General features: G+C 35.4%; 1 protein-coding gene across 11 annotated transcripts in view; it reads right to left on the reverse strand.

The window, feature by feature from the left end:
• FBXL4 (F-box and leucine rich repeat protein 4) overlaps positions 1–17,074 on the reverse strand; it is a 79,412-nt gene that overhangs the window by 24,796 nt on the left and 37,542 nt on the right. For 9 of the 11 annotated variants that reach the window (NR_103836.2, XM_017010727.3, NM_012160.5 and 6 more), the window contains 2 exons: positions 12,096–12,340; positions 5,938–6,151 (listed from right to left, as the gene is read on the reverse strand). Coding sequence is in view for 9 of the 11 variants with exons in the window: in XM_017010727.3 (XP_016866216.1) it covers positions 5,938–6,151; positions 12,096–12,340 (459 nt within the window). In the remaining 2 variants the exon portion in view is untranslated. Of the gene's footprint in view, positions 1–3,401; positions 6,152–9,795; positions 10,857–12,095; positions 12,341–17,074 lie in introns of those variants that run through there. The other 2 variants (NR_103837.2, XM_047418627.1) reach the window with 2 other exon arrangements.

Genomic DNA, 17,074 nt, shown 5'->3' on the forward strand with positions numbered 1-17,074 from the left:
ATCTGAGATCTAGGTGTCAACAGAGTTGGTTTCCTCTAAGACTTCTCTTACTGGCTTGTAGCGGGTCATCTTCTTCCATTGTCTTCACATGGTCTTCCTTGTGTGTGTGTCCCCTAATCTCCTCTTCCTTAAGGACACCAGTCATATTGGATTAGGCTCTACCCTAATGACCTCATTTAACCTTAATTACCTCTTTAAAAACCCTGTCTCAAATACAGTCACATTCTTAGGTACTGGGGGGTAGGACTTCAATGTACGAATTTCAGGGAGATACAATTCAGCCCATAACACAAGTATTTGAAAGTACATTACAGATATATGCCCTTTTAGGGGCAAATTATGTCTTTCACTTATAATGCCCCAGGGGTAAAGGGTTATTATGTTTTCAACTTATATTCAAATGGTTCACTAAAACAATTATGCATATAGTAGGGGAACCTGGGTGAAAATACATAAGAAATCATTTTTTTTTTCAATTTCTCTGTAAGTCGGAAATTATTTCAAAATAAAAGTTTTTTTCAAGTATTTAAAAATCAATTTAATGAGTCAGATTTATTTTATTTTTGAGACAGGGTCTTGCTCTGTCACTCAGGCTGGAGTGCAGTGGCACAATCACAGCTCACTGTAGCCTCGACCTCCTGGGCTCAAGTGATCCTCCCACCTCAGTCTCCTGAGTGGGACTACAGGGGCATGTCCAGCTAATTTTTTAAATTTTCTGTAGAGATGGGGTCTTGCTATGTTGCTTAGGCTGGTCTTGAACTCCTGATCTCAAGTGATCCTTCTGCCTCAGCCTCCCAAAGTGCTGGGATTACAGGCATGAGCCCCTGAGCCCAGCTGAATGGGCTAGATTTTTACAGCTCTACTTTCACGAAAATACATCATCATGTATGGTTAAAGAAGTACTTGCAATCAATGCTTTATCGTACCTAATAAGAATCTTATGAAAAGAAAAGAACCAAAAAGACTGAACTTAAGTCCTTTAAATCATTATAATACCTAATTATTTCCATGCCACGGATGGTAGAAGAAACTAAGCACAACTAAAGTGTCCTCCCTGTCTAAATCCCCATCTGTTGCAGAAAGTGCTGTCTATTCAACTCTAAAAGATCCACCAAATTCAGGAGGAAAAAAAATTACCCTATTTACCAACCCATTTCACTAGTAATTCTGGGATTACACACTAAACAGGGCATAAATCTCAGCTCAAGAGTAATTTCTTCTAAAAAGGTTTCCCAACACAGATCACCCTCCAACTAAGGACAAGCCTGTGACAATGCGAGCATATATTTGGGCTTACTGTATACCCGTCCATTCTGTCTTTTATTGATGTAATAGTATGTTGTTCTTTACTAAGCATGTATTTAATGCTCTGAGTCTAATGAAATTCAACAAATATATGCCACTGACTCTGCACATAGCTTAGTTAGTGAATTTTCTTTGCTAAATTTATAAGACATTTGTTATTTCTCTGATGAAGTCATTTTTCATTGTAATCCTAAACACATCTAAAGAAAGAAAAAGATCTCATGAAATAAATTAAGAAACCAAGTTGAACTATATTTTACTATCTTATAAGGCTAAAAATTCTGAACAACCACTGATGCAGGGAGGGACCCACATCAGCATACAAGACAATTCTGACCCTGCCACAGTTCTATTCTCCTGAGGTCTCATTCTTACTGAGTCATCAGGCCTGCTGCATGCCTGGCTATGGCTAACGACTTAAGAATACATCACCTAGCTATCAACAACACATCATTTTACATGTCAAAATTATTTTGAGGATTATCTGTCTCAATGCTGCTCTCCATTACAGTATAAAATTGAGAGTAGGCCTATATAAACTACTTACTTAAAGCAGTTAATTATGTATTGATTCTACAAACTTTCACTTAAATGTTTCTAAATGTAATTTGAATAACAAATTGTGATTTATAAATTCAGAACAACTAAGACTTCAAACTAAGCTTGTTCATAGTAAAAAGACAAAAAATCCGTTTTCCTGCAGAAGATATTTATAAAACATAAACATAATAGTCTGTATTTTATCATGGATTATAATGTTGTATATGTTAGTTACTATGTTGTATCTCCTTACCAACTACAAATTAGAAATAGTAAGTAGTAAAGAAAATCCTTGTTTTAGGTAAATAGCCAAGCTATCAGAATAACTACTATTCTATGCTTTTATATATGTTATAATTTTAACTACAACACCAAGGCCACAAGACCTGAGTTCAAATCCTGACTCTATTGCTTGTGCCAGCAGGCAATTTATTAATCTTTTGAGACCATAATTTAATTATGTGTAAAGATGAGAATACCACCAACCCTATTCAGACTGGTGTAAAGAAATAATAATGCAAAATATCTAGGACAGCCAACAGAATATATTCAGTAGCTTTTTCCCAAACTTTGGGACTAAAAATCCAGGTCTTCAAAATCCTCAAAAGCTTTATGCATTATGCATACGGACTTGTCTAAGTCTTGTAAAATGGCATAAATATACTATATTTATTAATGCAAATTATGTAAAGGCACATAAAATGTAACAGTATTGTATCATAAACTGGTCTCTGTGAAGTTAATATGCTATAATACAATCCATATTTTTAATACTAATTTTTGCTTATTTTAGAATTTTGTAGGGTTCAGGAAAACAGGGTTAAAGTGGTACCAGATAATTTGTAGCCCTTTTAAAACAAAATAACCTCTCCAAGAAAACTAAAATTATTATCTTCTTTTTCTTTTCACGTATGTCCTTAGAGCAAGCAGAGGCATTTGAAATCAATTACTGCTCCTTCTTCAAAACAGAGTCTAGAATGAGAATATACTGCCAGTGATTTTGTGGAACATTTAAAGAGAGACCAGTCTCCTACACCTTGTCTTCTCATTCTCTGTTTGCTCTCATACACCATCATTAGGTGCAAGGTAAAAGGAGTGTGTGTATCAAAGGAAGAAGGAGGTGACATAACGCTTTGCTTAAGTGACAATGGAGGTGTTTACAGATTGCCATGAATACTAGTGCTGTAGCTTCTGTTTGTTTTTAAAGAAATCAGCTGATTATTTTGCCAACTCTCCTTTTTCTAATTTACTTAGTGCCCATGTGGGACTCTGATACAGATCCCAAGAATGAGGAGACAATAAGAGAGTGAAGTATAGGTAGAAAGCAATGAGTTCGGAGGCATTAAAAGTAAACACTGCCTGGGTAAGATTTTCTAAATTTCACATTTGCCATTTATATCACTAAAATAACAGCATCTTTAATTTTAAGTCAACCATAGATCACTGAAAACTCAGTTTTATAATTTTTTTCTACATATTCAATGTCAGAAAAATTACGTAGTGTTTATGATATTTTACCAGATGAGCCAATAAAAAAAATTTAATAGGAAGTAACAGAGGGTACAACCTAAATTTTATTTAATATATTCATACAATGATTTTACATCTGTATTTAAGTAACTGAGGGAAACCAGAGCTTATGCTATCTAGACCTAGGTACATATGTATAAATTTCCACTCTTCAGATATGAAATCTTCTTAATCCTCATAAATCACACTTAAAAAATTTGGTCATATCTATCAGTCTGAAACAAATTTAAGAAAACTGTAGACTAATAATTCTCTGACACTTAGATCACATTACTATACAACATTTCAAAAACATCTCATGGGATATATTTTCACAAGCCACAATAGATATAAGATGCCTAGCAAGTTAATATTTTTTTGGTTTTTACCCTATTTTTCTTCTCAAAGGCTCATTTAATAACTACATTTAATAATTATGCCTGCTATATTTCTTATTAAACAATCAGAAAATTTTAAATGAGGCATTTAAATCCTCCTTGCTCAGAGGATTTCGTTTATAGTACTTAGGCCCATAAAATAGTAAATGTGCCAGTAAAAAGCAGGTATGGCATAATTTCAGAATGAACAGTCCTACCCAAGAAAAGATAGCTAGCAATTTTATACCCACACAAATGGGGAGTCATTTCACCACAGACCAATGAAAACACAGGCTAATATCATCTGGCATTCAGGGACAATAATTATTTCATTTTACAAATAAAAAATCTGGAAATCTGAGACAATGTCTTCACCTAGATTACCAAGCTTATTGCTGGCAGGGCTAGAACTAGAATCAAAGTCTTCTTTCCACCCTGCCAGGTCACCTGTTGAAGCCTAGCTAAATATTTTGCCCAAAATTGAGAATAATGCCATCTTAATTCATTCGGTGTTGCTATAACAAAATACCTGAGGGTGGGTAGCTGATAAAGAAAAAGAGTTTATTTAGCTCACAGGTATGGAGGCTGGGAATTTCAAGGGGCATGGCACTGTCATCTGCTCGGCTTCTGGTAAGGGCTTTCCTGCTGTGTCTTAACATGGCAGAAGATCAAAGGGGAGGCAGACAGTACAAAGAGGCCAAACACAAAAGGCATCCTTGCTTTACAACCACCTGCTCTCTTGGGAACCAAACCATTCCCACCAGAACTAATCCAGTCTCCCAAGTCACTGGTATATCATTTTGGAAAAGTAATTTGGTTATCTTTATTCATTTACTTAACAAATATTTACTGAATGGCCAATCTTTACCAAGTACTATTCTAGATTCTGGAAATATGGCAATGAAAAAGACCAACAAGGCTTCTACCATTATATCCTAATGTGAGAAGACAGAAAATAAGCAAGAAAACAAGTATCATTTCAGAGAGTGACAAGGATGTTAAAAAGGAAATGAAACTTGATGATATGAAGGAAACAAACTAGAAGGGGTGCTACAGTATCCAGGAAGCCATCTCTAAAAAAATATGCAAGTTGAACACTGAGCTGAAAAAAGGGCAGCCATAATGAGCTAGACAAACATTCCAGACAGGCAAAAAAACAAAAGCCCTGAGCTGGGACCAGGTCAGAACATTCAAGGAATAGAAAGAAGGCCAATATGCATGCAGCAGAGGGAAAAAGTATATGACAAACAGTATGTACTACAGGGGCCCAGGTACATACTCTTTAACCTAGCAATACCACCTCTAGGACTCTATCCAACAGCAGTAATAGTAAGTATGTGTAAAACCATGCACAGGCTCATGGTGAAACCCCGTCTCTACTAAAAATACAAAAATTAGCTGGGCATGGTGGCACGTGCCTGTAATCCCAGATACTCAGGAGGCTGAGGCAGGAGAATCGCTTGAACTGGTCAGGCGGAGGTTTCAGTGAGCTGAGACCATGCCATTGCACTCCAGCCTGGGCAACAGAGTGAGACTCCGTCTCAAAAAAGAAAAAAAAAACTATGCACAGAAGAATGTTAGTGCTAGGTAGTTTGTAAAAGGAAAACAACTGGAAAAACTAAATGTTGATCATTTGGAGAATGTTAAATAGATTATGGTATAACATACACTATTACAGTAAAAGAGTTAGATAATATATGCACTGACCCTGGAAACATGTCCTAGAGATATTAGTGAAAAAGCAAGTAGACTAATATATATGACATGATTCCTTTTTAAATGAGACTCATTAACTATGGTATTACAAATTTTAACCCCCAAGTCTGGTCCAGGATAAATATCACTTTGCTTCCTCCCACTGCAAGCAAATGTCCTCTTACATATTATCCTCCTACCTTTCTCTAATTCATTCCCTGCCAGCATTTTGGCTTACCTCAACCAACGCTTATTTTTTTTCCTGGGGACATAAATAGCATCACAAAAATTTTAAGAGCATAGAGAAGAACATTTCCTTATAATTTAAAAGCATATTAGGTTTGAAATAACTTCACAATGACTGAATCAGCTCTATTGATTTCAGAGTAGTCAGAAGGCATCATAAACTTGATTTAAAAATAAAAAACACATTATTATGAGCAATTACAGAAAACCAAATCTTCAGTTGGCTACCATAATAGCAATGATGAAAATTATGAATTACTCTCACCTCTACTTTTGTTCGATAGAGAACAAGTCGTTTAAGGCTGCATAACTTGGCAATGTGGTTGAAAGCTTGAGGTGGTAGCTTATCACAGGAGGAGAGATTTAAGGCCTGTAGATTTGGACACATCTCAGAAATAACTTCTAAGCAAGTTTCATTAAGAAAGTGGCTGCAAGACAATTCAAGGCGTACTAATTCGGATCCACAAACCTTCAGAAACCTGCCAAAACAACATTCTATGTGAATTTTATAAAACTAAAAGATATTTTTGCAAGAACTTTGGAATTTTAGCAACTCTAAGTAGATACATTTGAAAGAATAGATTTCTATTAGGGAAAATGTAAAATTTGTTTTGCTTAAATTCTTATTCACTGCATACTGAAATATGAATGGTTAGGCTAAAAAAATCAACTTGAGAGAACAAAATGAATTCACATCATATAAAAAGTCAGCTAATGCTAAGTGGAAAATTAAGAAAGTAGAAGATATATTTTTCCCACTTACCTATAATTCACATCTGAGTTGGTAAAGCCAAAAAACAAAAACAAAAAAAAACAGCAAAACATAACAAAACTCTAAACTCTTGGGAGATATTTCCCCCTCAACAGTACCCATCAAGTACTGGATAATATATTTTGAACACTGCACACGAAAGTAACAACTTATTTAAATAACCTCAAAACAAATCAGACTAGGCTCCTCTCAGCTCAGAAAATGTCTATGTGGGTTTAACTACAGCACTGTTATGGTACTTGCAGCTGTTACTATTTAGCAGCTAGATTGCTTGATATTGAAAATATTCAATTGCAGCTTTACATAAAATATATAGAAATAAACCAAGATGAAGGTCACAAAATGCTTTATCAGAGTAGTTACCACAATATTTATGTCAGTTATGTTATAGTTGGGGGAAAAATAGTCCTGTCTATGATCATCCCCTGAAAACAATCTAAAAGTAAACATGAATCTAGGAGTATTTGAATCCATGAAACTTTATCAACTAAGCAAACTGAACCCTCTTAACAGTGTACCAATTATGCCTGTCCAGGTCTCTTGACATAAATCTTCCCACCAGTGTCACATCAGTAATATACTGTTAGTCAATTTATGCCACATCTTTATTCCTAAATGATTTAATGAGCTTACAAATACACATACAAAGTAAAATTGACTAAATCAGATTAGTTGTGTAAATAAAAGAAAGTAACACTGGTTAAAAGATGGAGTTTTTTGCATTGTTTGACTAGTTCCTAGCAGAGACCTTGGAAAAGGCATCTACTCAAGTCTTAGCATTTCCTCAGCTGTAAACGCAGACTTGAAGTATGTAACAACATTCACCACACTGCCTCGTGGGATTGAAGCTGAAATACTACGCAAATGCAGTTTTTAAAGGTCAAAGCACCCCATAAACATTAAGTATAAGTTAAATCTTGGCCAATTCACATTTAAACAATAAAAAAATTCAGTTGCTGCAAATTTAAATATTGTAAATAACCCAGTAGCCTGCACATCTTATTTACACGTGAACACCCGTTTATTCTAAATTCAAACTTGTATTATTTGATTTGTGACATTTCATACAACTGCACACTCCTTCCTTAAAACTCTGACACTCCTCACATAACTCCCTCTCTTGGATCTCCTCCAACCCCTCTCACTGCTGCTTCCTTTGCTAGCTGTATTAGCTAAACTGCAGTCTACATGAAGCACATTCATTCATTCATTCAACAAATATGCCCTGAGCTTCTACTATCATCCAGGCAATAGTCTAGGCACTGGGGAGATAGCAGTGGACAAAACAAAATCCCTGCTCTCATGAAGCTTACTAATGTTTTGAAGAGAGAAGGAGATGATAACCAAATGAGTAAAGTAAGTCGCAAATTTGTGAAAAGTGCCCAGGAGGAAATAAAAGCAGGGAAGGGCAATAGAAAGTGTCAAGGATGGACAGAGTAGTCAGAGAAGCTTCAGAGATGTGGTGAGTAAAACCCTGAAGGAAGCGAGAGGGTGAGCAAAGCAGGTATCTGGAGGAAGAGCATTCTAGGCAAAGGGAAGGGCAGTCCAGGGCAGGATAACAAGCAGAGTGAAGAACAGTGAGACGGGGGATGCAGGAGGCGCAAAATGATGGCGAGATGAGTAGATCAGAGATGAGGGACAGTTGACGTAGTGTGTGTCACTATAAAGACTCTGGCTTTATACCAGAAAGCAAACTGTTAGGAGACAATAGGAAACTTCCCAACTTGATTTAATGAATGATGGAATTTGAAAGCAAAATAAGATAAAGTCTATACCTATACTACCTTTCTGACTTTCTTTCTCTCTCTCAAGAATCCCATATTGCATATTTTTACTCTGAGCAGATTATTTAATATCCTCATATTATCTCTACTTAAATTTTCAAAATGTATACTACCTACCTTTTCATATCTACATCCCAAGAGGGCAGAGACAGTAGCAGACTCAATTAGCTGAACACAGCTCTTACTTCTTTCCTTAATGCTTCTCATGCAGGTTTTACTTTAATGCATAATTACATATATGTATTTTTTCATCTCAACTGTGCCACTGATCATTTGAAAGGAGAACTCAGCTTGTTTACTTCCTGCAGTCAATTCATTCTACATTGTGAATGCTCACAAAGTATTTTTTTATACTGAAGGTTTTATGAGAGGACCTAAGTCAGATAAACAATCCCAGACTAAGTCTCCTGCTATGAGAAAAGGAATCTCTGGAGAGAAAAGTAAATTGCTTATCATTATGAGGTGATTAATTTGTCCAAAATAATACAAGTACATAAGAAGCAATTTACTAAATGGTAACTTGCATCCTAAAATAATTAAGATCACGTGAATGACTTGAGTTTACTTATCACAAAATAAAAGGTAATAGTCCTCAGAAATTGCCTGAAGTATAAAAGAGAAGAATTAGATATAAATATCTATGACTTCTAAATTCCTAATCTCATGTTTTTTTAGCTGACCCTCACCGAGTTTTCTAAAACAATATATTCAAGATAATTTTAATCCCAAATAACTTGGAACATTATTTAATATAGCTGATCCAAAATAAAGCCATTAAAAACAAAACTTCCTGCTTAACTGTATATGGGTACTATCCAACAATGATAGAAAGAAGGGAAAAGAACACCTTAAAATGGTCTCTACTTTCTAGAGTTGACAATCTAAGACACAACTGTATAAAATATAGGCAGGCAACTGAATAAATATATTAGTGGGAAATAAGCTCTTTATACCATAAAACTTTAGCTCTATGTCAAAATACCTAATAAAGTTCTCGAATCTAGAACGCATCCAAGAATGTTTCCTAAAGGAATGAATATAAACTACCGAGAACAAGTAAGAGGAGTTTAGAGTAAAAACCTACACATAACTGAGGGGGAGATCAAGGCCATTCAGCAAATATTTGAAGAAAAATGGTAGGGAAAAAATGAACCTAAGGCTTTTTGAACAGAATGATACAATTAAGTTCCAAAGCACAAACAGGCAGGCAGGGAAAGGAACATCTAAGACTTTGGGGAACCATACTAGAAAAGTGGAATTATAATAGATGTGATTTTAATGAGTAATGATATGCATGAACAGTACTCAAAGTAATAAATCACAAATCTGTAGCTAGAATAGGATTTTAATAACTGATTAAAAGTTTTAAGTTCTCTTTATTCCAATGCAACCTATTTCTCCACTATTCTGAATAATAACAATTCTTAAAAAGTTATTTAAAATCTAGTTAAACAGTTCTAACTTGTGAGATAAGGCTTTTAAGCAACAAAAATAAACTGCATCCAACTTTTTCCCAAAGATTTGTTCAAAAAGCAGCTCATCAACATTGGTCTCTAGTTTTTAAATGTGCTTTTCTTCTTTAAAGTATTACAAATAAGTCTTCTTCATAGTACTGAGCATAAATAGACCATACTTATTCAAAGATTATTCATTAATAATCAAGCCATGCATATTTATTGTTTATTCTGGGAATGCTGCCTACAAGCCATAATAACTATCAATTCAGCAGTCAAGTCATGGGGGCCAACAGTAATCAGTAGGCAAAACTCCAATATGCCCCCCACAAGAAAAGGTTCTCTCTCCCTCTTACCTCAACTTTTTCTTTTCTTAATGGGAATAGTGACTACACTTAAAGGAATGCCATCAAGATTTATGATTTTACTGGCTGAAATACTACAGTAAAATATGAGAACTTAAATTTATATATGGCTTTTTCTGATTATTCAAACTGCTCTACAGCAACTACCCTGGGTGAATTGAAAATGGAAGATAAATTGTGGGTTAGAAAGTAGATAGAAACTCTAACTTTGCAAAAGATCTTTATCCATTACTAGTATAAAAATTTTTTAAATGGCATGGCTAAGTTTTCTTCTTATAAGTGATGTTTCTTCTCAAGCGCCAGAAGCTGCATAAAGTTTTTAAAATTGATTAATATTAGCTTTATATTTTACTCGTTATTATCACAGTCATATGCAGCACTTTGCCAGTACAGCTGGACTTCAGCCATTCACGACTAATATTTTCTTTAATGTCTACACATTAGTTACTACCCTGTTACTCTGTTTATAAAAATAAGGGATATGTTTATATGTTTATCTTAATATCTTTATCTTCTCTGTAGCCTGAAGGCAGGAACTATATTATATATCTCATGTCTCTGTATATGATCAACACCCACTACAATGCCTTGCACACAAAGGGTGAAAACAAACGTTTAATAAATTCTTAATAATGGAAAACATTGGGAAAGAGCTATGAGGGTAATTAAAATACCCTAATGGTCTACATAATGTAAAATAATGCTTACTGACACCACTTGTTCTGTTTTCATATTCAGTTAGTCTTGGTTTATGATAATGTATACTCTAAATATTCACAGACTTCATTAGCTTCAGTTCTTTCTTGGTCCTATTAGCAGAGAAAAGAATTTGAAATATGTGTGTTTGGGGCAAAGGGAAGTAGAAAGGACTAAACTGTGTTTCACTGGACAGCTGCCAAATATCTAGCAATGAACCCCTTCTCCTGGTTCAATTTCTGGCAGAAAAGAAACTCAGTGCATCCATGGTTTCAACATGTGCTACTAGCCATTACTACTTGGTTTATTTTTCACTTTGATGCATAAACTATCAAGCTCAGTATTTGGAACACATTGTTACTATTTCAAACATCATTACTTCATTTAAATCTAACAATATCAAATCTTTATTTCTGGAACTGCATCTTTATTTTTATAATCTAAGTTGAGGAAACAAGGCTCCACATACGAATTTCTAATTCATAAACCACTGTTGTAGAATGTACACTGGGGATATGTGTAGGGATTGCTACAGTTCACTTTTCATTTTTAAAAATAGAATACAAGAGTATTCATTAATTAAAAATAACAGAAAATTTCTCTAAAGTTTCTACTTCTTCATTATTTAACTTCATGAAAATGCTGGGATTATATGTAACATACAATGAGAAAAACCATGATCAAGGTTAGGAGAAAAACACCTGTTTGTATCCTAAGAAAAAATTACTATGGCATTACTAAATGAATATGCACTTGTGCAAGCTTTCAAATGCTTAACAGGTGACATTTAATAGTAAGGAAACTAAATGCTTAAATAGAAAGGAGCGGAAACACCTGGGCAGGTCTGCAAGTGTGGTCGTCTATTTAGCATGCAACTGCATTTTCAACATAATTAGTTTAAATGAGCTTCTAAATCTGGGTGATGTATTGCACATGTAATTAAGATTTAATTAAAAATGTTCTATAATAAATTGTTTTCCATTTCTGACAAATCACATTAGAGAGGTAGATTTTGATTTGGAAATAGTTTTTAAAATGTGTTAATCATCTGTGCTGCAAATATGAAAAAGAAGAAACAGGAGCTCTGCTGAAAGTTACTTGGGATTTAAGAAACATGAAGTAAAGGGTATAGTTTCCCTTCATATTCATATAAAATTTAGCTGAAGAGGATAGTAAAACACTTATTTTTTTATAAGCAGCAGCATTCTAAACATGACACTCAAAATATATTTCCTTTTTATTTTTGTAAGTACATGTTACATAATTTCAAACTTTTATTATGAAAACCACTACATAATAAGTATAACCTGCTGCTGGGGGGGAAAAAAACTTCATCAAGGCTTTGTACTAACCTGCTAAATCCTGCAACAGAGATGAAGCCTCTATTGCCAGTCCAAGATAAATTAAGCCACTGGACAAGAGTGCAGCGAGACTGTAGAAATTCCAGAGAAGTGTCATCTAGTTTTGCCCAGTATGGTTGCAGATTGAGGTGGATGTATTGCAGAGGATCACAGCAATGCTGGCTCAGTAGTTTGCAAGTCTGTGCTAATCTACACAGGTCTGGTAGTGTAAGATGATTCAGAATCAGCTGAATAAGCTAAATAAGACAGAGAAACCAAGATCATCAAGAGTGAAAAGCAGTATCATTCTATGAAACATATAACATAATCTAATAAGGAATAAAAGTGTCATACATTTTATAACAATATTTTCACATAGTAAATAAACATCCAACAGAATTATCCAAATAAAAGAAATCATACGTGCATTTGACTGTAGTGCATTTCAAGATTATTCAAAGTATACTCACCTCACATTGCCTACTCATTTTCTTAGGTGCAAAGATACACTTTGGTAATCTATTGACTAATACAATTTGTCATACTCAGCATTACTGAACAGCTACTACGTGCCAGACACTGGCGACAGAAAAGAAAGAGTGCCCATTCTCAGAGTGCTTACAGTCCAGTGGGGATTGGTAAGGACAATGATACGTTTTAATAGCTTTGACAAAAAGATACACAGAATGCTACTAAAGCCTAGCAGACCTAGCTCCAAAGTGAAAGTGTACAGTGTACCTGTGCCAGGAACACTCAGCTTTAAAAAAAAAAAAAAAAACACTTTTAAGTTCTGGGGTACATGTGCAGAACATGCAGGTGTGTTACATAGGTATACAAGTGCCATGGTGTTTTGCTGCACCCATCAACCCGTCACCTACATTAGGTATTTCTCCTAATGTTATCCCTCCCCTAGCCCCACCACCCCCCAACAGGCCCCAGTGTGTTCCCCTGCCTGTGTCCAGGTGTTCTCATTGTTCAGCTCCCACTTATGAGTGAGAACATGCGGTGCTTGGTTGTCTGTTCCTGTGTTAGTTTGCTGAGAATGATGGTTTCCAGCTTCATCCATGTCCCTGCAAAGGACATGAACTCATCCTTTTTTATGGCTGCATAGTATTCCATGGTACATATGTGCCACATTTTCTTTATCCAGTCTATCACTGATGGATATTTGGGTTGGTTCCAAGTCTTTGCTACTGTGAATAGTGCCACAATAAACATACATGTGCATATGTCCTTATAGTAGAATGATTTATAATCCTTGGGGTATATACCCAGTAATGGGATTGCTGGGTCAAATGGTATTTCTAGTTCTAGATCCCTGAGGAATCACCACACTGTCTTCCACAATGGTTGACTAATTTACACTCCCACCAACAGTGTAAAGACATTCCTATTTCTCCACATTCTCTCCAGCATCTGTTGTTTCCTGACTTTTTAATGATCACCATTCTAACTGGCATGAGATGGTATCTCATTGTGATTTTGATTTGCATTTCTCTAATGACCAGTGATGATGAACATTTTTTCTTATGTTTGTTGGCTGCATAAATGTCTTCTTTTGAGCAGTGTCTGTTCATATTCTTTGCCCACTTTTTGATGGGGTTGTTTCTTTCTTGTAAATTTGTTTAACTTCTTTGTAGATTCTGGATATTAGCCCTTTGTCAGATGGATAGATCGCAAAAATTTTCTCCCATTCTGTAGGTTGCCTGTTCACTCTGATGATAGTTTTTTGCTGGAACATTCAGCTTCAAAGAGTCAGGGGCAAACCAGGTGAAAAGAGAGTCTAGTGGCAAAGACTGTGTTATGAAAGCCTCACAGAGGAGCTTGGATTTATCCTGAAAGCAATGAGGAGTCCTGAAGGGTTTTAAACTAGGGGTTTTAAACTAGAGTGACATGTTCACATTTGTGTTTCAGAAAGATCATTGTGGGCGTGCTACTGGGAGCAAGGAGGCAGGAAGAGAAACCAGCCATGGGGCTAATACAGAATTCTAGGAAATAGGAAATAAGGGGTCTGCTTAAGGCAGCTGGCAGTGATGATGGAGTAGCAAACAGATACAAGAATTATTAAGAAGGCAGAATTCAAGAGATTGTTATCTCTAATTAAAATTATCTTCTTGAACTAGTCCAAGGTTTATTTTTTCTAAACAGTTGGGGGCTTCTAGTTTCAAAGAACTGCTTAAATAGCCTATTCTGAACTAACAAATATAAAGGAAAAGATATTAAATATTTGCTAAATGTTAAAAATCTTATTTAGATGAGAGAGGGTTTTTTTTAATTTAATGTATTTATCTAGCTAAACTTTTTGTTTTGCAATTAACCTAAATGCTCTTCTTCAATTTATTTTGTTATCTAGGCTCAGTATTAATTTCAGGTCAGATTTTCACTGTTTTAAGCCAAAATATCACAAAACGCAGAGTAACAACAACATGATCTTTAAAATAAGTTTAAAGAGGGTGTAGCCAGAATCTCCCTTACTCCTGATGTTTCTTAGTAATTTTCTTAGTAATTTACTGACTTTCTAATCTGCTCCTTGGCTATTAATTCCCACTTGCCCATGCTGTTGAACCCAATCTCTCTCAGACACTGCAAAATCCCATTGTAGTGGTCCCTATACCTAGAACGATTGAATAATTTTTCTTTAACAAATCTCATCATCCAGATACACCTGTTGATGTGTAAAATATTACACAAACAAAAATCAAAAATTTCAAGTAAAAAGTAAACCCAAACATTAAAGAAAGGTCTAAAATAAGAAGTTTCTTCCTCTCTACACTCAGTTCTAACCATCCCTCTCCCCAAAGATAATCATTGTTTTTCTGATCTCTTCCAAATAAATGTGTATGAAATTCTGTTCTTGAATTTGCACTAAAAGAATGATACTATATACACCATTCAGCAACTTGCTTTTCTCATTTAATGATATATCTTATAGATCTTTCTATATCTGCACATACAGACCCACCTCCTTCCGTTTCATAGAAGTGACATAATTCAACTAGTTCCTCATTGATGTATGTCCTGCTTTTTTTCCTATTGCAAATAATACTGCAATATCATTGTGTGTATGTATTATGCATGTATGTTCATCTTGGCAAACTTTGAAAATATATCCTTATAGTAAATTACATGCATTTAGAAGTTTTGATGCAAGTGGAGAATTGCCATTCACAATGTTCCCATCAATTTATATATCCATAAAAATTGTATGAAAGTACCCTTTTGCTTATATCCTAGACAACATTGGTATCAAAACGTTTTTATTCTGAAAGACAAAAAAGGAAGAAAAGATATAAAACTGTTTTTATTTGTGTTTCTTTTTTTTTTTAACAACAGAAACATAACACTTTCCCAGGGGAGTTGTCGATACATTTCCCACTATCCTCTTGACCTGTTCCTGGACTCTATTCTGTTCCATTTATCTATATGCTATTTCTCCCATATCAATAGTCCTCCAAGTAAAATAACTAAGTTTTTTAAAGCATATGTGTTGGAATGTCATGGATTGTTTGACTGCAAATGAGAATCAGGACTAATACTCCTCTATCACACTTCTTTTCCAGAATGTTCCTGAGTATTTTCATATTTTTAGGCAAACTTCAATTTTAAAAAATTCTGTTTGCATTTTAATTGGGACTTCATTGAATACACTGATTAAGGAAAACCGATATTTTTACTTTATTGTATTTTCCTACTCTAGGGCATGTTCTAATTTTTTAGCAAAAGTAAATTATCTGCAAAGTCTAAAGTATCTGTGACTCCCCTTGACTAATTTGGCTGTATACTGGACCACCCTGAAGATCACTGGCTGAAGGGATAAAATGCAAATCTCTTGGTGAAACCCAAACAGACCTCTATGACGCAGCAGAATAGACTCCACACTGCCAAAGACAGGGAGTCCCAATCACTGTCATCTATGTGCATGGAGCTGTGCACTGAGGCAGCCCTGAGCCTCCATCCAATTCCATCTCCTGCAGCCTCCCCTATCAAATCCTATGCTTTGGTCACACTGAAATACTGGAGTTTCCAAACAAGTCACACAGTTTCACTTCTCATCTTTGTACCTTCTCTTCCCTTTGCCTCAAGTGTCTTCTGGCCTTCATTCAAATTCTATGGGTCAAGCATTTTATCAGGTCTGGATAAAATTCAATAAACTGTTTAAAATGTATTTGCTGAAATTATATTTCTATTTTACAGTTTTTGCAAGTGGGTAAGAATCAAAGCAGCGATTCACTCTCCTCCAGATGAATTGCTCCCACTGCTGCAACAACAGACCCACCGCAGAGCCCTGAGGAGCAACACTGTCAGTATCTCATGCTCCTCTCTCTCCCCAAACCCAGCTTTTCCTTCATCTTTCCTCCCTCCTCCCAGTAAAGGCCAGTTTTGTCCAATCTGTGAAGCTCCCTTTCCATCACATGAGGTCTGGGTGGGATCCTGGTCCCATGGCTTAAAGACCAAATTAACTTGGACACTTAAATTCACCTTTATGTGGCAACTTTAGCTACTTCACAGGATGTGCCATGGCATTTTAACTGTAATATGTTGGAGAGGCATTATAGTTACTATTACTCTAAGACATTCAAAAGGCTATCTTACTGTTTCATGAAAGTTAAGCTATTTGTGTTATTTCCATGAAATCTGAAATACACATCAATTTGGAAAAGGGATATCTAAGTTGGTTAAAATTTGAGTCTATAAAGTTTCCTTAAAAAGAAAACTGATATACATTTTTAACCACACAGTAGTTTTCAGTGGGAGACAGAAATGCTTGGCCCTACTCTCACCCCTAGGAATATTTCGAAACTGGTGGGGAGAGGTTTTCATGTCACACAGCCCTAGAATGCTACTAGCATTTGATATCTGGGAGCCTGGGATGCTAAAATACCTCAGAAACACCCCAGTAGGGACACACTGAAAACAGGACTTCAGACTAGACAAACAAAAAAGTATTAATAATTCCAGGCCGGGCACGGTGGCTCACGCCCATAATCCCA

Source organism: Homo sapiens, chromosome 6 (genome assembly GCF_000001405.40).
Source record: "Homo sapiens chromosome 6, GRCh38.p14 Primary Assembly".
NCBI lineage: Eukaryota > Metazoa > Chordata > Mammalia > Primates > Hominidae > Homo > Homo sapiens.